Genomic DNA, 21,055 nt, shown 5'->3' with positions numbered 1-21,055 from the left:
TTAAGAACAGGAAAAGACAGACAAGAAAAGAGGGAATTTTTTAAAAAACATTACTAAAGAATAGGACATAGAAGAGTGAAATTGAGAAGGTAAGGAGGAGGGGGAAGGATGTAAAAACTATGACAATACACGAGTTATTCAAAGAGTAGCCTTTCTTCTGCATGAGGCCGCCATGCAGAGTGCCACTTACATGAGGATGGCTGTGACACTGGTACTCATGGGAAGCTGTGGGAAATAAGTTTGCTCCCCTGGAGAAGAAATGGTTGCGAAGATTCTCTGAAGGGGTAAGTGAAGACCTTTCTGGAAAGTTCTGGAAATGTCCTCCTGAAGCCAACTCTTCTATATGGATTTGGGGGAAGATGTGGATTCTCATTAGTGCACACTTGGGTGTATTTCTCCATCATCTTTTATAGTGGCACCCCCACTCTCTCAGTGGTTTACTTTGAGGCAAACACTGTCCTACCTCAGCTCCCCTCCTCTTTTCTCCAAATGTCATTTGAAAATTTGAAAAAAGAAAATTTAAATGAACTTTTTTTTGGTCAGAGGGCCCAAAAGAACTGAAATAGCCCCAGGAAAGCCCAACTACAAGAGAGTCCTTAGGAAAGGCAGTAGGAAAGGGAGTAGTTTGCTTCTAAAATAACAACTGCGCCCTGTTTCCAGTCTCCTCAGTGCTCGACAGTGATCAATGCTGGCTTCTTGGGAATGGACGGTATTTGCCGTGAACTCCCCGTGGCAGTTGGAAGCCGAGAGCCTTGTGCATGGATACACACACAGGTAGTGTTTGGAACAGGAATCTTCCCCCACATGGTGGTATTTTTGGCTTAATCCTAAGCTAAATTTTATAAAAGGGCTTCTCTCTCTCAAGTACCTATTGGACTGATACGGAAATTGCCCTCAAAGTAAACAACTGGGGAAGTGGGGTTGCCGCTATAAAAGATGATGGAGAAACACGCAGTGTGCATGAGCCACGTGCCCTCCGTTAGAACTCCTGTCTGAAGTCAGTGCAGACTCCAGCTGGGGGAGCAGCACACCCTCCAGCAGAGTCTGAAATGACCTGCTTTGTAAAATGTGAACTCTATGACAGTACACCTTTCTCTCTATTTTCTTTTTAGCTGAGAAACCCATTTGTAAAAGATCAAAGCATTTGTTAAGCCAACTTTAGGATCTTCTTCTTATCCCTCACTTTATTTTGGATGCCAATTCGGCCTCATTCTAAAATGCTTTTTTGCTTATTATTTATTCCATTTATTTGAGATAACCTCTCTTCTTAAATCCATCCTAGAGTGATTTCCAGGGAATTAATAGAGAGATAAATATTATAGTTGTTTTCTACTTTTTATAGAAATACCCCCATATAATATGCCTATCATTATGCTTACATTAAAACACACACACGCACACCAGATCTTGCCTTACAAATTTCAGGACAAAGTGAGACTGTAACATAGTATAACATTTGCTGTAAATCATTGTAAATACCTCTTAATTCTCTTAGCTCCAGGCCCAAGATGCTATCTACAAAAGGAGATATTTCAGAGCTCAGAAACTCCTCCTCTGCCAAAGGCCCCCATAAAAGCCACTAGAATCACAGGCAGCCACCTCACCAACCCACCTGCTTAGGAAAGAACAAAAGCAGGGGAGGCTCCTTGGTGAAACTGTAACTCCACAGTAACAATTGAAAGTATAACATGGTGCAAACTAGGAGGTGGGAGGAGGCAGAGAAATTTGATCTTTATTTAAAAGATTCAAAGATTCAATAGAGGAATTTCAAAGAGACTGGGGGCCCAAGGCAGGGAGCAGGGGAATGACTTAGAAAGGTAATAAAGTGTGACCTTTCAGATGCCCCTGCAGGAATAAAGGACAGAGAGAGAACGATTCTTAGATATTCTCATCTTCTTATTCTGTTGTGTTGTAAACAAATAAGAGAGTAGCTTCAAGAAGATGGAGCTGGAAAAGACAGAAAAGATGGGTGGATGGGTGGATGAATGGATGGGTGGATAGATGGATGATGGGTGGATAACCGGATGGGTGAATGGATGGATGGGTAGATGGATAGGTGGGTGGATGGATGGCTGGATAGGTGGATGGATGGGTGGATAGATGATGGATGGATGGATGGATGGATGGACTGATGGATGGGCAGGCGGATTAAATATGTAAGACCAGTAGACAGGTGGGTGGATACCTGTACAGGTGAGTGGGTGGGTAGATGGGTGAGCAAGTGGGTGGGTAATGGATAGGTAGATGGATAGGTGGGTGGAAGAAAGGGTGGGTAAGTGAGCAGGTGGACAGATAGGTGGATGGGTAGGTGTTTGGAAGGAAGAAGGGTAGGTGAGTGGGTAAAGAGAATAAGCCTTTTCCTATTATTACATGTAATTTCATTACAGCATGTCCCCCTCAATATTCACAGGTCTTCCATTTTGAAAATTGCTGTCAAGTGCTGAATATAGTAAAATAGGCACTCATGCAGCCACTGCTAGTGGATATGGAAATTGGTACAACTTTTCCAGATGATAAAGCTTATTAAGAATCTTTAAAAGGCTGGTGCACCCACATGTTCATAACTGCATTATTCACGATAGCCAAAAGGTGGGAACAGCCCAAATGTCCACGACAGATGAATGGATAAATAAAACATAATACATATGAGATCGCGCCACTGCACTCCAGCCTGGGCGACAGAGACTCGGTCTCAAAAAAAAAATTAAAAAAAAAGTAATACATACACATGCAATGGAATATTATTCAGCCTCAAAAAGGAAGGGAATACTGATACATGCCACAACATGGGTAGAGCTCGAGGACATTATGCCAAATGAAATAATCAGTTACAAAAAGACAAATACTGTACTTGTCTGAAGTTCCTAGAGTAGTCAAAATCATAGAGACAGAAGCAGAATGATGACTGCCAGGGCCTGGAGGAGCAGGGGTAGGGTTCATATTTAATGGAGACAGAGTTTCAGTTTTGCAAGATGGAAAAATTCTGCAGATGGATGGGGTTGATTGTGGTATAATAATATGAATGTACTCAGTGCCACTGAACAATATTTAAAAACAATTAAAAGGTCACTTTTATGTTATATATATTTTACCACAATAGAAAAAAAAAAGAAAAAGAAAAAGAAAAACATCAGTGCTCTCTGACCCCTTGTAAAGCTACTTAGAGCAATCAATCCTTAGGAAATATGTCAAAATGCAGACAAAGAAGTGTGCACAATTACATGTGTCACCTAATTGTTAACTGGAATTAATATAAATGTCCAAAAAATTAGGGACTAAGAAATGATGCCTCATTCACACCATGAATTATTAAGCAGCCATTTAAAAATGAGATTTGGCCGGACGCGGAGGCTATCGCCTGTAATCCCAGCACTTTGAGAGGCCAAGGCGGGTGGATCCACCTGAGGTCGGGAGTTCCAGACAAGCCTGATCAACACGGAGAAACCCCGTCTCTACTAAAAGTACAAAAAATTAGCCGGGCGTGGTGGCGGGCGCCTGTAATTCCAGCTACTCCGTAGGCTGAGGCAGGAGAATCGCTTGAACCCGTGAGGCGGAGGTTGCGGTGAGCCGAGATCGCGCCATTGCACTCCAGCCTGGGCAACAAGAGCAAAACTCCGTCTCAAAAGAAAAAAGAGAGAGAGAGAGAGAGATTTACAAACTATTTTAAAGAAATGGGTAATATGTGAGATCGTTTTAAATGATAAAAACAGAACACAAAATTGTCTGCATAACCTACTAATAAACTCATAAAGAAAAAGAAATAGACTATTAGAAACGGGCCAAAAGATTATCTCCAGTCCTCAGAGTAGTAGAATAAATGGATAGAAGTTTTTCAGCTTTTTACACCTTTATGTTCTAAATTTCCTACAATATGCGTGTGATGATGGTGGGTGGAGTTAAGATAGCAAATGGAGGGAAGAAGTATGGAGATCTGTCTCTTTGAGCAAAGTCAGGGGGTAAGGGAACGTGGTCTGAATCGGCGTCAGGATAATGTGTGCAGAGAAATACTACTAATGCTGCAACCATCAAAGAGGCTTCCAAAAGTCCACTCGCAGTAGAAGACCTGAATGGAAGATGAGCTGGGCGTGGGCGTGAGGAGAACGGGCGTGGTCCGAGGAGGAGGTGGGCGAGGTCCTGAATGGGGTGGGCGTGGCCTGGAATGGGAGAGGGGCGTGGTCCTGAGGGGAGGAGAGGCTAGTCCTATAGGGATGGGAGTGGTCAGGGAGGGGGTAGGCGTGGTCCTGAAGGGGACAGGGGCTGGGACTAAAGGAGGGATGCGTGGGCGTGGTCGGGAATAAGTGGGTGTGGTCGTAAAGGGGTGAGGGGCGTGGTTATTGCAGGACTCCGGACAGACGCTTTTGCCAAGCTCCTAGGCAGCCTTCAGAGCCAGAGTCTCCCAAACTCCTTCGTCCTACAGTGAACAAACCAGGCTAGAGTTTTAAGGGAGGTCTAAGGAAAGGACTCAGAGAGGAGTCAGAGTCAATTAAGAGCTTTTCAGAACTAAATATATTATTGAAATAGCCAATGGGCTGATTATTTCTACTCTATAGATTCTTTCAACACTGGGGACAGGGTGGAGAGTAGTTGTTGTGAGGATTTTTATAAATGAGAGGATCAGACAAACATTCTCATCCTGAAAGCTGCCTGTGAGTGACTATATTACCCGTTCATCCGACAAATACATTATCAAGTGCCTACTATATCAGCAGGGCACTAGGCTCTGGGGATATCAGTGAACAAAACAGACGAAGATCCCCGCCTTCGTGGAGCTTGCATTCCAGGGGGAACAAAGGACAGTAAATGTAATAAACGTGTCCAAAGGGAGTGGCACGTCACTGTGTACTTGGCACCACCCTGGTGCTGGGAATGGAAACTCAAGTGTCTGTCTGCTCAGGGTACATCACATCTCCACGCCTGCCCACAGTGTCCTCACTGGAGTCAACAGCACTTGAATAATGGAGAAAGACCCTAATACTTGGAATGTTGCCCATTGCTGAATTCAGTGTCCACCACAAGGCAAGCACACAGTAAACTTGTACTGAATGTACTGAACAGTAAACGAATGAATGCGTCAATCTGTGACTCAATCAATCACATCGTTCACTTGAAGGGCAGAAAAATGAGGGTTCTAGAAAGAAAAGTGTACCAGCAAAAAGGGGTTTGCCAGCATGAGGACCTACTGTGTATCAGGCACTCCCTGTCCACGTAAGACACACAGACACCCACATACACACACACACATGCATGCTTGTGCAAGGCTGAGCACACATTGACACAGAAAGGCTCTGTGCCCTGCACACTGGCCCACACCCGTACTCAGGGAGCCAGGGTTTATATCCAGGTCTGTCTGCTCCTTCCACTCCCTTCCCTGGGTGTCTCTGTAAAATAAACTCAGCTGCTAAGTTTTCTCTTTGCCCCAAGTAACTAAACCCTAAAGAACTTCCCAGGAATCCAGACATGTTTGCAGCAACGATGACTAACTTTGCTGCCTGAGACGGGCCCTTTGTCATCTTTATCTAACATGTCAGAAGTTTCTTCTAATTGGGTTTGTTTGTGGGTGTTCCACCCAGCCCTACAAATTGCTGTCAATAGAATCCTAGGGACTGACTAGGTTTAAATCTCATCTTACAAGGAGTTGATAAAAGCAGTATCACCTCCTCTGGAGGGGGCTGGAAGGTAACTGGAAGCCCAGCAGACCCCTCAATCCCAATCCCCCATCCATAAAGAGCCTGCCCTCTCCCAGCCCAGTTGACAGTAGGTATTTATGCTCTGAGACCCAGAGATGTTGTTCCGTGTATGATGACCCTAATGGCTGGCAAGCCAAGATGCTGTTTGGAGGAGGACATAAATTAGACCTGGAATTTTCAGGATAAACATCTTCAAGATTTATTCCTGCAGCCACTCCCATGAGCACTGGTTTCAGAGTAATCACAAGGCTTCTAGGAAAAAAGGCTTCTGCACATTTTTTCTGGAGCCAAGGTGCTGGGAAAAGGTCACAGGCCCATCCTCAAAGCTCACCAGAGAGAAAGGTCCCTCCTGAATGGCAGGAGCTCTCGCCCTGGGTGGGAGACTGCTCTGAGAATGCAGCAGTTAGGAGGCCTCCAAGCTTGGAGTTTTCCCTTGGTCAAGTCCTTAGCAAAGGCTTTTTTACATTCCGCCAACTTCTGCTTCAAGAATTAGCTTTAACCATGTCCAGGGTAGCACAAAGTGCTTGGGTTTTGTAAGCTAGAGGTAGGTTTGGGAGCCAGCAGGAGGATACAGAACACATTTCCTCTTTTGTAGAGACAGGGTTTCCCCATGTTGCTCAGGCTGTTGTTGAACTCCTGGGCTCAAGCAATCCATCGGCCTTGGCCTCCCAAAGTGTTGGGATTACAGGCATGAGTCACCGTGCCAGGTGGGAATCATTATTTAACAATGGCAGCCTGAGGCTCAGGACACCAAAGTAAGTTGACCAAGACCACAATGCTAAGCAGAGGAAGAACCAGGATTTGAACTCAGATCTGCCTGACTGTTACGCTCTTGGTTTTTCATTGTTCTATGCCGCCTGCCTCTTGAACACAACCGATCACACTGAGGTGCAATTCTGCCTCTCCAGGGCTGCCTCTGTGGCAGGGCTCAGGCCTGGGCCTGGAAGGAGCCAGCACTAGGATCTGGGTGCCAGATGCCCATAGCCAGAGCCAACTGGGAAGATGCTGAGTGACACTCATGCAGCCAGTCTGTTACTGGAAACAGGTCCTGATCCAGAAGCCAAGAGAGGGTTCTTGGTCTTGCTCGAGAAGAATTTTAGTTGAATCCATAAAGTGAAAGCAAGTTTATTAAGAAAGCAAAGGAATAAAGAATGGGTACTCCATAGGCACAGCAGCCCTGAGGGCTGATGGCTGTCCACTTTTATGGTCATTTCCTGATTATATGCTAAACAAGGGATGGATTATTCATGAGTTTTCCAGGGGGTGGGCAGTTCCCAGAGCTGAGGATTCCTTCCCTTTTTAGACCATATAGGGTAACTTCCTGACGTTGCCAAGGCATTTGTAAACTGTCCTGGTGCTGGGGGGGGGAGTGTCTTTTAGCATGCTAATGCATTATAACTAGCATATAATGAGCCATAAGGATGACCAAAGGTCACTTTCATCACCATCTTGGTTTTGGAGGGATTTGGCTGGCTTCTTTACTGCCACCTGTTTTATCAGCAAGGTCTTTATGATCGGTTTGTTGTGCTGACTTCCTGTCTCATCCCGTGACTTAGAATGCCTAACCTCGTCACCGGGGTGTGGTGGCTCACGCCTGTAATCCCAGCACTTTGGGAGGCCGAGGCGGGCGGATCACAAGGTCAGGAGATCGAGACCATCCTGCCTAACATGATGAAACCCCATCTCTACTAAAAATACAAAAAATTAGCCAGGCGTGGTGGCACATGCCTGTAATCCCAGCTACTCGGGAGGCTGAGGCAGGAGAATGGTGTGAACCTGGGAGGCGGAGCTTGCAGTGAGCCGAGACTGCGCCACTGCACTCCAGCCTGGGTGACCCAGCGAGACTCTGTCTCAAAAAAAAAAAAAAAAAAAAAAAAAATGCCTAACCTCCTGGGAATGCGGCCCAGCAGGTCTCAGCCTTATTTTACCCAGCCTCTATTCAAGATGGAGTTGCTCTGGTTCCAACACCTCTGACCAAATCCAGCCTCATTCATTCATTCATCAACAAATGTTCATTGAGTGCCTGCAATGAGCCAGGTGCTGTTGTGGGCACCGGGAAAACAGTGGAGAAAAAGTACAATTGTCGCAGCCCTCATGAAGCTTGTATCCTACTGGGCAGAGCCAGACCACAAAAATACAACAGGAACCATGTCAGCTGGCTGGTCATGAGTTCTATGAAGGAAAGTAAAATGGGGGAGGGTGACAGGTAAGGGGCGGGGTCACCGTTGCCCATAAGCTGGTCAGGAAAGGCCTTTCTGCTCAGAGACTTAGAGGAAGCTAGAAATAGTGGGGAAGGGAGAACGGCCTTCCAAAATCCCAAAGGCGGTGGGAAGAACATCCTGAAGACGGAGCCAAGGCTGCTTCGGAGGAAGGGAGAAGGACGAGCAGAGCGCCCACTGGCGTCGAGGAACGGGAATGCCACAGCTGTGAAGTCCAGAAAACGCTGAGCCCTCCCGCAATGGCTTCCTCACTGAGGGGTGTCTAGGGCCTCGGGAACGAGGCGGAGGATACCAAGCTCCTAAGCCTAGCCGACCCCAGAATTCTGGGAGAGGGAACACATATCCGGGATAAACACACTCCTCAGAAAACACATTGGAACCTCAGAAAGGAGGGTTTTCTGCGATTTTCGGCAGGAGCTGTTTTCTAAGCTAGAAAAGACAGTGAGGTCTCACGTCCTCGAGCTGTGGGCCTGGGGAAGCAGACCAAGTCCTCAATGAGCACAGCTCCCCGCCTTTGAGGCAACGAGGTTGAAAAAGGGCCGCGTGTGAACGTGGGTTAGCGCCGGCACCTCTCTGAGCCTCAACTTGATAGTACTTCCTAGGCTGGACTTTTGTGAGGATTAAATGACTTAACTTGTGGCAAAATTGTCAGGCAAACTGTAAAGTGCTGAAGACATATGAGTCATATTCGTATCTCCCCCCAACGGCTTAACATCCTCAAAATATGTTTTATGTCAACTAGGGCAAAACCTTAGTCAAATTAGTGACTTTAAGGATAAAAATATTGACCTTGAGGACAATAATAAAAATTCACACTAAAAATATCAAAAACAACAAAAGCTTCATCTATGACTTGTCTGTGACTGGCCCATTTACATACATTAGAACTAGTCACAGCAACTCTGTGGGGTAGACATTACCATTTTCACTTTATAGATGGGAAACCCAAGCATCAGAGAGGTTAAATAACCTGTCCAAGGACACACAGCAGGCAAAGATGCCACTGGAAAGATATTTGTTCATTCATTTAAGAAATATCTGCTTGCTACTTTCTCTGTCCTGTTCTCTGAGGTTTCAGAGAGGACCTCCCGCACTATCTATTACCTGCAAATAGGTCACTGTGGTGAAATGAAGTGATGATACAGACATGCAAAATGTACTGCAGAAACAAACTCAGGCCTGGAGGAAAAGAAGGCTCCCTGGAGGAGGTGACGCCGGCACTGAGCTTTGGAAATGAGTGGGAGGCAATTTGGAGAGAGAGGAAGAAAAGGGGCCTTCCAGGGTAAGCGAACAGCTCCAGAAAATACGTCCAATGGAGAACGGCAGCCTAGACCTTCTCAGTCAAACCCCATCTTCTGCCCTCAAGCAGAGCCATTCCTGGTGCCTGGACAGTAGGGAACCCCATGGAAAAACGCGCTCGCTTCTTCTCAGGGCATTGGTTTTGGACAGTGGTTTGAAAGTGTTCTCCCCAAACCAGCAACATCAGCATGACCTGGGAGCTTACTAGAGACACAAATCCTCAGGTTCCACCCGAGACTTGTGGAATGAGAGCCTCTGCAGGAGGGGCCCCGCGATCTGCATTTTAACGAGCCCTGATTCTGATGCGCTGGAAGGGAAGGTCTGAGAACGTCATGTATGGGACTCTGATCAGCCCAATCAGCGAGAATGTTAGAATCTCAGGCCCCACCCCCGACCCACTGAATCAGAATCTGCATTTCACGAGATCCCCAGGAAATCGTATGCATATTAGCATTCGAAAAGCTGGGTGACACCCAAATTCGGAATGACGCCTCCTTGCAGCTGTAAAACTCCAACAGAAACTCTTGGGAAAATCACCCAACCTTTTATTTCTTCTTCTGAGAAAACTCCCAGGTGGGAGGGAAGGAAGCCCTTCAGGCTCAATTAGGGCCGTGAGACCCTTTGATTCTTTCCAATCTCCCGATAAGAATGCGGGGCCAAGGGGCGCTGGGGGCAGCCCTCTCCCAATAAGGGGAAAGTGCTTCCCTCCAGGAGGCAGGAAGCCAAACAGTGCTCTTCTGCCAGCTTGGCCAAGGAACGGCCCCCTCGTGGAGCCTCTGGAATTGGGAAGAAAATTCCTTGCAAATTCCACGGCCATCTCAAACCAGTGCGAAAACGCAAGGGCAGCCCAACGTGGTGCAGCCCAGCTCAAAATGAGTTCAAAACAATTACCAGCCAACATGTGTTTCCTATGAATGGTGCAAGTGTTAAAACGGATTTAATTTTCTTTTGTAAATAAAGAGGCCCATCCAGACCGGCCTGTTTATCTCCCTGGGAGAGATGAAAGTGTTTCATCTGCCAGTAGCCTCTGCCTGCTGCGGAGGTTGGGGGCAGCTCTCTGGACCCCATGTGTTCTCTATCTTGTAATCCAAAGTCATCTTTCCCATGTGGAACTGTTTGAGCACCATGAGGTCTTTTCTCGAAGTCTTACTTTTAGTTATCTAAAATAGTACTCCCTTTTTTTTTCTTAAACATATTAGTGATTCATAAACAGTAAAATTAGTCTGCTAGAAGCTGATGGAGGTATTCATCCTGGTGGCGCCTGCTTTCCTGGGTTAGTAGTTAAAATAAATCATTGCTGTCACAATGGAATTCAGGCCTAAAAATCACCTGTAGGAATCCTCACCATCCCCCCTTTCACCTCCCCCAGGCCTCCAGAGCATCTAGGATCAAAGCTATCTTCCTCACTCCAGCTGAGGGGGGAGAGAAGGGAGGAGAAGGAGGAGGAGGCCCAGAAGGAAAATCCCAGAAGTTATACCAAACCAGGAAATTAATGTCTTTGCTCTATTGTTGAAACTGGAAGCACAAAAGTATGAGGCCAATTTATGATATTAGTGTTTCTAAAGCAAAATATGATTAACCACTTCATTATGTAAAGTTGTTTCCACTTAACCTCTTTGTGCTGGCAACCAGAACTTTTTTTTTTTTTTAACTGCAAATTTAATAAATTCCAACATGCCCAAACTTCCTGACTTCCACTGTCCACCACTGGTTTCTTTGGAAACTTCAATAGCGAGAGATAACTGGCGAGGTCTGCTCTGCCTACCTTCACGGCACATGCCATAATCCAGGATCAGGCAAATAAGCTTTCATCTTCGAAGCACTTAAGTTAATTACATGGAGGCCGGTGGAGGCCCCAGAGCCAGTTCTGCGCACAGCCCTCCCAAAGCCAAACATCATAGGATCCAGATGCAAACCCTTGGCAACTTAAGCCCAACAAATTTCCTTTGTCAAGAAATGCAAACAGCCAAACATTGAAGCGTAGGCTACTTCAGTGAGTTGGCCTCCTTGGGTGCTAGGGCCTGCAGAGCCCAGGCCAGAAACCCAGATCAGAAATGATTCAAATGCGCAAGTGGTCGGGACCTAGCTGGTTCTCAGGAGGACCTTGGGTTGTTCGATTTCATTTTGGACGCGTAACCGACCATGCATGCTTGCCTCCTTTTGACATTTTGACAATTTGAAAGGAACACGTCCCAGAAGCAAGGATGTGAGGGGAATGTGTTGTGGGGGGCAGGGGGAATGCTGTTCCCCCATCCAGTGGAGTTCTCACTGCAGGGTTTCTGCCAAGACTGCTGCAACCTTCCACTCTTTCTGACTCCTTCCTATCTGTCCCATTTACAATCGTCTCTTTTTGTGGACCCCTCTACAGACCCAAGCACCATGTCTGGGGATGTCTGTGTCTGTCCTCTGTTCCCATTGCGCACTGCACAGCCCATGCTCATCATCTGGAATTTTCAGGATAGGGCAACCTCCTGTCCTGGCTGCAAGATCCAGGTTCCATGAAAGGGACATTCATGGCCGTTCTCATCCCTCCTGCCTTGCAGGGTGGCTTGGACTGCGTGGGTGAACCTGCCTGATTCTGGGGTGGCCAGAGGAGGTGCACTGGTGCAGCACTTATCCCACACAGTCACCAGCTTCTAGACAGAGCACAGTGGATACTTTGGTGCTGTCCACCTGACTTCAGTGGATTTAGAGCTCAGGCAGATTCAGAGGAGAGGGGTGTGCTTGGTTAGCATCTTACTGCAGGTTGAATTGTGTCTCCACAAAAGATATGTTCAAATCCTAGCCTGTAGTGCCTGTGAATGTCACCTTACTTGGAAATAGGCCCTTTGCAGATGCAATCAAGGTAAAATGAGGTCACATCAATTAGGATGGGTCCTAATCCCATGACTGGTGTCCTGTTAAGAAGAGGAAGATTTGGACACAGAAACAGACAAAGAAGGAGGCATGTGAAGAAAGAGGCAGAGATGGCAGCCATAAGCCAAGGAAGGCCAAGGATTACAAGCAATCACGGAGGCTGGAAGAGGAGAGAAAGGATCCCCCACCCCCAAGAGCTTCAGAGGGAACATGGACTCAGGACATGTGGATTTCACTTCCAGCTTCCAGAACTAGGGAGGAATCATTTCTGTTGTTTTAAGCCACCCAGTTTGTGGCACTTTGTACAGCAGCCACAGGAAACTAACGTACCTCCTAAAGCCTCAATGATAATCACCTGCTTATGGTTTCCCAAGTGCACTCTGAGCATTGCAGGGGGAGAAAACTATACCCTTTCCTCCCCCATGGCAAGCTTCATAGCAGACACCCCTATAAGAAAAGACATATTAACAAGAGAAAAGTGCGATGCATTGATTCCATCTAAGTTTTATGTGACATGCGAACCTTCAGAAATCAAGACTCAAAGACACAGGAAAACGATGCATTTTTCTGCCTAGGTTTGCTGGAGAGTGGACAGTCGTGTGATTGGAGAGAGGGGGTGTGATCTCAGGGTCCTAAACTGGAGGTGCTCAGCAAGGCCCTGTTTGTTCAGATGCGTCTTGGCAGTTCTGTGTCTTCATTCCTTTCCTCTGGGTACAGGTCAGGACACCTGTCACATGAGGGTCTCTACTTTCAGGGGAGTGGGTCAGAGAATCCTTTCATGCCAGTGGTCATACAGCAAGGCCTGGGAAAGGCAGACAGTGGCCTTCCTGCTTCTGATGTTTTCTCCATTTCCGAGGTGCTATGTCTTGGGGTGACATGTCCTGCACACTGTCAGCAACAGGGGGAGTAGGGACCAGGTTGTCCACAGCTTTGCCTGCTCTCTTTACTGGCACATAGTAGGGCTTCAGTATGAGCAGTGAAGCCTGCACTCGCTCAGCTGGACATATGAGCCCTGCTCACGAGTGTCCGGCTACCTCTTGCATTTCATCACCAGCCCCCAGGCCCCATCCGCTTAGCCTCAGCTACCCTGGGTCTTTGCATGTTCCTGGACTGGGACTGGGATGCCCTGCCAGCCCCCAGCCCTCAGCTAGTCTGTTCTCCCTCCCTGTCGAATCCATCCTGCTTCTACACCTGGCCAGCTCTCACTCAACTGGCAAGACCCAAGTGAAAGGACCCTGCTTCAAGGCTCCAACAGACCTTCCCCAAGCCCCATCCAGCCTGCTTCAGGGCCTCCCTCTGTGTCCCCACAGCCCCTCGCATAGCACCTGTCACACAGTACTGTCATTGTCCATTCACAGGACTCCCTCACAACCACCTGAGGGCAGGGGTCATGCACCACCCACCCCTGGGCCCCCAGCCCTCTGCCAGCCAATGACGCATGGGATGCGTGTTGAGTGAATAAATGCTTAAAATGAATAAATGCTCCATAAATAACTGAGTAAATCTCAACAGTCTCCCCAAATGTGCATCCATATGAATCCCAACTTCACCTCAAAGGTCATATCCCCACATAGGAACAGAAATAGGAGAAAAGGAAACCAGCAAGGCCTTCAGTCCCCTAAAAGAGCAAAGATAAATAAAGGTGAAAATCCCTGTAAATTCTCTATGTTGGGCTCCCTTTAAGCTGGACATGAAACATGCCTCATGAGCCCTTGCTTTTTGGTGTGTGCATGTAAGAAAATTAAGAAAATTATATATATTTTTCCTTTTTTTTTTTTTTTGAGACGGAGTTTCGCTCTTGTTGCCCAGGCTGGAGTACAATGGCGCAATCTCCGCCTCCCCAATTCCCCAGTTCAAGCGATTCTCCTGCCTCAGCTAATTTTGTATTTTCAGTAGAGACAGGGTTTCTCCATGTTGGTCAGACTGCTCTCGAACTCCTGACCTCAGGTGACCTGCCCGTCTCGGCCTCCCAAAGTACTGGGATTACAGGTGTGAGCCACCGTGCCCGGCGAGAAAATTGTAATTTGTCTAGCTGTAGAAAATTCTCTTCTTTATGAGCTTCCAAACCCATCTTATCAGTGTGCAATTTTGACTGTTTGCTTTCTCCTGAATGAATATTGTTGTTGGCAGGAACAGCGATATGATTAATTCCCTGAGGGTGGTTAGCTTGGGATGACCAAGAGGGACCCACTGGATAACTTCGTAACATTGACGCTGGGAAGAAAAGTTCCAGATGCAGGTTGGTGTTTAATTTCTCACGGGGTCCCAAATCTAGGAAGAATCTTTCTAAAAGTTAAACGGCCAATCACTAAATATTTCCCAATGACCACAACCCACCCAGAAGGGGAAGTTAGGGCAGGCTGTGTTCTCTTGGTGTGAGAGTTTTTATCCTAAACTTTGTCCTGGACAAAGTGGCCAGCGACACAGTAGCCTTGATCGTGTCACTGCACTCTCCACTTCCATCCACAACTTCTTGCCAAGCCGCAAATTTGCCATTCTCTTGTTTCCTCTGCCTGACACTACATTCCCTTCCTGCGTTGGCCCTGCCTCCTGCAGGTCTCAGCTTAAATGTTACCTCCTCAGGAGACCTTTGAGCCCCATTCCAGCTCAGCCCCTCCTGCAGGCCCTTGTGTGATGGTCCCCAGGTAAGGTGACTGCATCTGCCCTGGCCACACCACACTCCAGCACCCAAGACCACACCTGGCACAGAGTGAGATTCAATATCCAGAAAGTAAAAACAGCTTGGCTGTCTCTTTGCAGCCTCTGGTTTAGTGAAAGGCACACACTGGCAGGAGGACAGAAACTGTCATTCATGTATAGTGACTCTAAGAGAGACCCAGAATAATCGTGGCTTAAACTCGAGAGAGAGGTTTGTTTCTCTCTCACCAGGGACCCAAGCTTCCTCTGTCTTCTTGCTCTGCCTAACAGGAAACTCCCACTCATGGCCCAATATGGTTCCTCTGGCTCCTGCCCTCACATCTGCACTCCAGCCAGTGAGAAGAAAAGGGGCAGAGGAAGGACATGCCCTGCAAGTTGCACATATCACTTTGGTTCACAGCTCATTGGCTGGAACCTGATCCCATGGCCACACCTGGCTGCAAGAGGGTCTGGGAAAGTAGGCATCAGCTAGGCACCCACATGCCAGCTAAGAACTCAATTACTGTAGAAGCAGGAGAGAATGGACAGTGGGGGACAGTGGGGGAATGCCACCTCCAGGGATCATCGTGAGTAACTCTCACCATCCTCTCCTCAGACAGTCTCTAACCAGTCACCATGTCCTTGTCCCTTGGGTTTAACCTTCCAAGGGTCCTCATCCCTCAGCTGGAATGCCACAGTAGTCCCCTCCCCACCAGCCCTGCCACCCCACCACAGCCACACTGGCCCCAATCTATCCTCCATATCTGAGAGTCCATGTGGTACAACCCTGTGGTGGGCAATTTGGAAATATATATCAAAATTGCAAATTCCCATGGAGCCCTTGACCCAGCAATTATATATCTAGGAACGTGTCCTACTATGCTGCTTATGTGCAGGCACAATGCTGCTATCCATTGTGGTCCAGTGCTATTCAGTGCAGGGCTGTGTATAACAGAGAACAACTAGAAATAACCCAATAGCTATGCTTATGGGATTGTGAATAAATCACAATATACCTGTGCATTGAGACCCTACCTATTACTCAAATAAAAAAAGGAAAGACTAGGTAGGTGTAGTGTCTCACTCCTGTAATTCCAGCACTTTGGGAGGCCAAGGTGGGAGAATCCCTTAAGCCTAGGAGTTCAAGACCAGCCTGAGCAATATAAGGAGATCCCTGTCTCTACCAAAAATTTAAAACTTAGCCAGGCATGGTGGCATGGACCTGTAGTTTCAGCTTCTTGGAAAGCTGAAGCAGGAGGATCGCTTGAGCCAGGAAGGTCAAGGAGAGTGCAGGGAGCTGTGATTGTGCCATCGCACTCCAGTCTGGGTGAGAGAGCAAGACCCTCTCTCCAAAAAAAAAAAAAAAAAAAAAAAAAAAAAAAAAAAAAAAAGTGTTCTGTGCTCTGATATGCAAAGATCTGCAAGATAAACTATTAGAAAAGAGATTCATGGTTGCCAGGGCAATATAGGAAATAGAAAGAGCTGGGCATGATGACTCATACCTGTAATCCCAGCACTTTGGGAGGCTGGGGCAGAAGATCACTTGAGATCAGGAGTTCTAGACCAGTCTAGCCAACATGGTGCAACCCTGTCTCTACTAAAAATACAAAAATTGGGCTGGGTGCGATGGTTCATGCCTGTAATCCCAGCACTTTGGGAGGCCATGATCCTCATGGATCATGAGTTCAGGAGCTCAAGACCAGCCTGGCCAAGATGGTGAAACATGGTCTCTACTAAAAATACAAAAATTAGCCAGGCATGGTGGCAGGTGCCTGTAATCCCAGCTACCTGGGAGGCTGAGGCAGAGAATTGCTTGAACTTCGGCGGTGGAGGTTGCAGTGAGCCGAGATCGTGCCACTCTACTCTAGCCTGGGCAACAGAGCAAGACTCTCTCAAAAAAAAAAAAATACAAAAATTAGTTGGGAGTAGTGGTGGGTGCCTATAATCCCGGCTACTGGGGAGGCTGAGTCAGGAGAATCCCTTGAACCCAGGAGGCAGAGGTTGCAGTGAGCCAAGATTGTGCCACTGCACTCCAGCCTGGGCAACAGAGCGAGACTCTATCTCAAAAAAAAAAAAAAAAAACAAAGGAAATAGAAAGTCAGGATTCTTTCTGGGGTGATGAGAGTATTTTAGAATGAGATAGTGGTCACAGTTACACAACTCTGTAAACATACTGAAAAACCACTGAATTATATACACTTTAAAGGGTAAATTTTTCATCACTAAGCAAAAAAAGCCAGGTGCAGAATGACACCATAATATTTTGTGTTAACAGGAAAAATAAGAATCTTCACTGACCATTGTTTCACTTAAACTCTGAAAGGCGACACAGAAAACTAACCTGGGAGACTAATGAAAATGGGAGTGGGGACGTCAAAAGGAAACTTTTCCATTTCCCTTGTATATTTGTTGGTTTGTGAGCCATGCGACTCTATTGTTGATTCAAATATTTTAATTAAAGAAACGGACCCTGAAGTGGCTCCCTGCTGCCTCCAGGTTCAAGTCCAAGATTTTGAGGCCGCAAAACAGCCTGGTCTCTGACTCACATCCTGCACAACCCCTGTTCCCTCCCCAGCCTCGCTGTGTCATCATTCTGTGTATCCTTGCTCTGGCTGGCTGTTCCTTCTACCAAAAACGCTGTTCTCCAAGCTGTTAACCTACTCACTCTCCACTATAGCTATAGCCACAAAGCAGGTGGGTAAGGCGTTGACCTTCATGGGTCCAAAGCCAGGCTCAAACTCTTCCTAGCTGGACAATCTGGGTAATTACCATATGCAAAATGGGAGCCATAAATACCGCCTGCCTTGTGAAAGAAGCTGCGTGTGCCTGACACATAGGGCCCAATGCGTGGTGGATGTTTTTATTTGGTTCAATCACAAAAGTAAAGAGAACCAGGGGCGCCTGGTGGGAGGAGCCTCTCCTTTACCTCCATGTATCTTGGGGCTGGAAAAACTAAACATTTGTTTTCTTAACCTCCTTTTAGGTCAGGCATGGCCAAGTGGAGGTTCCAGTGATCTACTGCTGCCAGTTATCTTTCGGCCACTATGGAGGTTCTAGTTACCTATCCCTGTCCAACCAAACACCTCTTAACTTAGGAGCCTAGGACAACTTCTGTATTTTGCTGATGGTTTTGTGGGTCAGGCAATCGGGAAGAGCCAGCTGGGTGGCTGTCTCTGCTCTACATGGGCCCAGTTAAGGTGGCTGGGGCTGAAGGACCCACCTCCAGGATGGCCTCACCTCATGTCTGGAGCCTCAGAACCCCTGAGCTCCCCCATCTCTCCAGGTGCCTTTTCCTCCTCCAGAGTTTCTCCTAACATGGCAGCCTCTGAGTTATCTGACTTCTTGCAGAGCGGAGGGAGGAGGTGGAAGCTCCTAGCCAGTTATGGGCCACACCTGGAGCTGTGCACAGGCAATTCCGTTGTGTTCTATGTAGTCATAGGATCTTCCCAAGTTCAAGACAGTGGAGAAACAACCCCTACCTTTTTTTTTTTTTTTGAGACAGAGTTTCACTATGTTGCCCAGGCTGAAGTGCAGTGGCATGATCTCTGCTCATTGTAACTTCTGCCTCCTGGGCTCAAGCGATTCTCCTGCCTCAGCCTCCCAAGTAACTGAGATTACAAGTGCCTACCATCACACCCAGCTAATTTTTGTATTTTTAGTATATACAGGTTTTCACCATGTTGGCCAGGCTGGTTTCCATCTCCTGACCTCAGGTGATCCACCTGCCTCAGCCTCCCAAAGTGCTGGGATTACAGGCATGAGCCACCGCTCTCAGCCCAGCCCCTACCTCTCGATGAGGGAGTGGCAAGGGCACCTTGCAGAAGAGCGTGTGTAATGGGAAATATCGCTGGCACCATCTTTGGAAAATACAATCTGCCATGCTGGGCTAAGCAGAAGCCTTTAGCAGATTCTGGAAAGCTTTGACTTTTTCAGTGAAAGGGTTCACATGTTGCTGGTACTGCCCCTGTTCCCCTTTCTTTCTTCCTTGAACAGGAATGTCATGGTCAGAGCAGCAGTAGCCATCTTGCAACCAAGAGAAAACAGTGAAGAGAAAAACAGACATGTCAGTCCTACTCCCTTGAACTGCTAAATCAACACCAGCAATCACCTGCCTTCGGGTTTCCTGTTACATGAGAAAAATAAACCTACTTTTCCAAACAGAATTCCAACTGATACAAGCAGGAGTTCTGACATAAGACAGAATGGGTTTGAATCTCGGCCTTTCTGGGGGTAGGAATCTTGGCTCTCTCTCCTTCAGTTTCTTCATCTGTAAAGTGCAGGCGACGATACCCACTATCTCATGAAGACCACATGGAAGACACATGTGAAAGTTCAGGACCCAGACTCTTTCCATCATGCTGTCCCCCCAGCTTAGCATGTGGCTTCCAGACCCAAAGTCCTCTCAGGATACAAGAGAGCTGCTAGAGTTCCAGACATCACATCTGCATTCCAGACACCTGGAAGGAGGAAGGAAGGAATGCTCGATCGAGATGAGTCAGCTCCCTTAAGGAATCTTCCTAGAAGTCCCTCTGACACTTCTGCTTTCATTCATTGGCCAGAACTTAGCCATATGACCACACCTGCCTTCAAGAGAACCAGGAAGTACAGTCTTTTAGTTGGGCATATTATAGCCCTGAATTCATTAGGTTTTGTTACTAAGGAAAAGAGATGTAGAGTGGGCAGCAGTCTGCCCCAACTCTGTGCATCTCCTCCGAGGCTGTTCTAGCACCCTAACTTCATCTTCCACTGGTTCCCATCCTGCAAGCTCCACTCCAGGCAGGCCTGTCCCCTGAATCCCCTGGCTACCATGCGCTGAGTGGGCATCCTTTTCTTGTCCGGACCCCAGGGTCCTCCTCTATAAAATGACTGGAGAGGCATTGTTGTGTCTAAGCCCCCATATCTGTCTGACAGCAGCAGTTCTCTGCTCTGTCTCTCTCACCCCCACTGTCATCTCCACCTCTGAGACACATGCACAGACCTTTCTCAACTGCTCAGTTCCTACCTCAGAACAGCCAACACTGAAATACACCCACAACCCATCCCCTCCCTGCTTTCTCATTGGAGACCAGCACCACAAGAGAAGCCGAGACCGCCAGCTAGATGCTCGTACTCCCAGCCTCCCTGACAACTAGGAGTGGCCTCTTGTCCTAGGTCTGCTAAGTGAGACATCAGTGATGTCTTTCAGGGCAGGGAAGCTTCTGGGACAGTTCTTCGTCACTGAGGAAGGAGAGAGGAGCGTTCCCTGTCACTCCCTTCCTACTGTGCTATTGTTGGGTGAGGAGATGATGCTCAGAGCTAGGCTGACACATTGTGACTGTGTGGGAAAGGTCAGAAGAATCTTAGAGAGGCCAAGCAAAGGCCCTAAAGTGGTTGGGCTCTCAGCAGTTTCCTTGTAAAGTTTTTGGATAAGTTAGGATCAGGGTCTCCTGCGTATGAGGATTAAATGATCCCGCTCAGTGTAATCTTCACGACATCCATGAAGTAGGTAACACTGTGACCCCACTTCACAGATGGAGAAACTGAGGCTCAGTAAGTAGGTAACACTGTGACCCCACTTCACAGATGGAGAAACTGAGGCTCAGTAAGTAGGTAACACTGTGGCCCACTTCACAGATGGAGAAACTGAGGCTCAGTAAGTGCCCCACACAGCCCATGAATAGAAGTGAGACCCAAGTTTGCCAAACACCCAAGCTTAATAGTCATTGAACAATTCTGCGAAATGGAGATTTAAAAACACAAATGCATGAAATGATAGGCCTGGCCCCCTGTCAATGTGCAGATTGTAGTTATTGTTGTTACTGACAGCACATGGCTTCCATGGCCAGGAGGAACGGCAAGTGGGAGGGTTGCATCCATTCTAAGCCTTCTGCGTTAGTCATTTCTGATGCTATCACAAAATACCTAAGAGTGGTGAATTTATAAAGAGCAAAATTGTATTTTTCAAAGCTCTGGAGGCTGGGAACCCAAAATCAAGGCACTAGCAAGTTCAGTTCTGGTGAGGGCTGCTCTGTTTCCAAGAGGGTGCCTTCTTGCTGCATCCTCTGGAGGGGATAAATGCTGTGTCCTCACATGGTGGGAGGAAGAGAAGGGCAAAGGGACGTATGTAATGAAGCCTCTTTCATAAGGTGATGTGGTTTGGATCTGTGTCCCCACCCAAATCTAATGCCGAATTGTAACCCTCAATGCTGAAGGTGGGGCCTGCTGGGAAGTGATTGGATCATGTGAGCAGTTTCTAATAGTTTAACACCATCCCCGTAGAGCTGTCTCATGACAGAGTTCTCAGATCTGGTTGTTTAACAGTGTGTGGCACCTTCCCTGTCTCTCTCCTCCTCCTGCTCCAGCCATGTAATGTCCCTG

At 47.3% G+C, this 21,055-nt stretch overlaps 1 protein-coding gene, 1 long non-coding RNA gene and 1 other non-coding gene across 10 annotated transcripts in view, besides 6 other annotated features; all 3 read right to left on the bottom strand.

The window, feature by feature from the left end:
- LOC124900165 (uncharacterized) overlaps positions 1-21,055 on the bottom strand; it is a 230,445-nt gene that overhangs the window by 95,132 nt on the left and 114,258 nt on the right. The gene's annotated exons all lie outside the window — the stretch shown is intronic.
- STX18-AS1 (STX18 antisense RNA 1 (head to head)) overlaps positions 1-21,055 on the bottom strand; it is a 168,808-nt gene that overhangs the window by 33,495 nt on the left and 114,258 nt on the right. The window lies entirely within an intron of this gene.
- Positions 6,072-6,665: an enhancer, noted in NCBI's record as "H3K27ac hESC enhancer chr4:4672506-4673099 (GRCh37/hg19 assembly coordinates)". NCBI's record gives its function as "activates a minimal SCP1, AML or CMV promoter by ChIP-STARR-seq in naive H9 embryonic stem cells {active_cell/tissue: H9 hESC(naive)}" and the evidence as "EXISTENCE:reporter gene assay evidence [ECO:0000049][PMID:30033119]".
- Positions 8,075-8,174: a silencer, noted in NCBI's record as "silent region_15216". NCBI's record gives its function as "represses an Ori minimal core promoter by ATAC-STARR-seq in GM12878 lymphoblastoid cells {active_cell/tissue: GM12878}" and the evidence as "EXISTENCE:reporter gene assay evidence [ECO:0000049][PMID:35858748]".
- Positions 10,235-10,830: an enhancer, noted in NCBI's record as "NANOG-H3K27ac-H3K4me1 hESC enhancer chr4:4668341-4668936 (GRCh37/hg19 assembly coordinates)". NCBI's record gives its function as "activates a minimal SCP1, AML or CMV promoter by ChIP-STARR-seq in naive H9 embryonic stem cells {active_cell/tissue: H9 hESC(naive)}" and the evidence as "EXISTENCE:reporter gene assay evidence [ECO:0000049][PMID:30033119]".
- Positions 11,733-12,233: an enhancer, noted in NCBI's record as "H3K4me1 hESC enhancer chr4:4666938-4667438 (GRCh37/hg19 assembly coordinates)". NCBI's record gives its function as "activates a minimal SCP1, AML or CMV promoter by ChIP-STARR-seq in primed H9 embryonic stem cells {active_cell/tissue: H9 hESC(primed)}" and the evidence as "EXISTENCE:reporter gene assay evidence [ECO:0000049][PMID:30033119]".
- Positions 13,021-13,118, bottom strand: SNORD162 (small nucleolar RNA, C/D box 162). The gene has a single exon (NR_145783.1). It is a non-coding gene; the product is annotated as a small nucleolar RNA, C/D box 162 (small nucleolar RNA).
- Positions 17,210-17,354: an enhancer, noted in NCBI's record as "145 bp enhancer 85 fragment used in the MPRA reporter construct; PK_construct_3817". NCBI's record gives its function as "activates an SV40 promoter by MPRA in HepG2 and K562 cells {active_cell/tissue: HepG2 | K562}" and the evidence as "EXISTENCE:reporter gene assay evidence [ECO:0000049][PMID:23512712]".
- Positions 17,277-17,287: a transcriptional cis regulatory region, noted in NCBI's record as "NFE2L2 motif; enhancer activity is reduced when this motif is scrambled". NCBI's record gives its function as "necessary for full MPRA enhancer 85 activity {active_cell/tissue: HepG2 | K562}" and the evidence as "EXISTENCE:site-directed mutagenesis evidence [ECO:0005528][PMID:23512712]".

The sequence above is a fragment of the Homo sapiens genome, chromosome 4 (assembly GCF_000001405.40).
Source record: "Homo sapiens chromosome 4, GRCh38.p14 Primary Assembly".
Lineage (NCBI taxonomy): Eukaryota > Metazoa > Chordata > Mammalia > Primates > Hominidae > Homo > Homo sapiens.
Note: the sequence above shows the minus strand (reverse complement) of the source record. Positions and strands in the feature narration are given on the sequence as shown.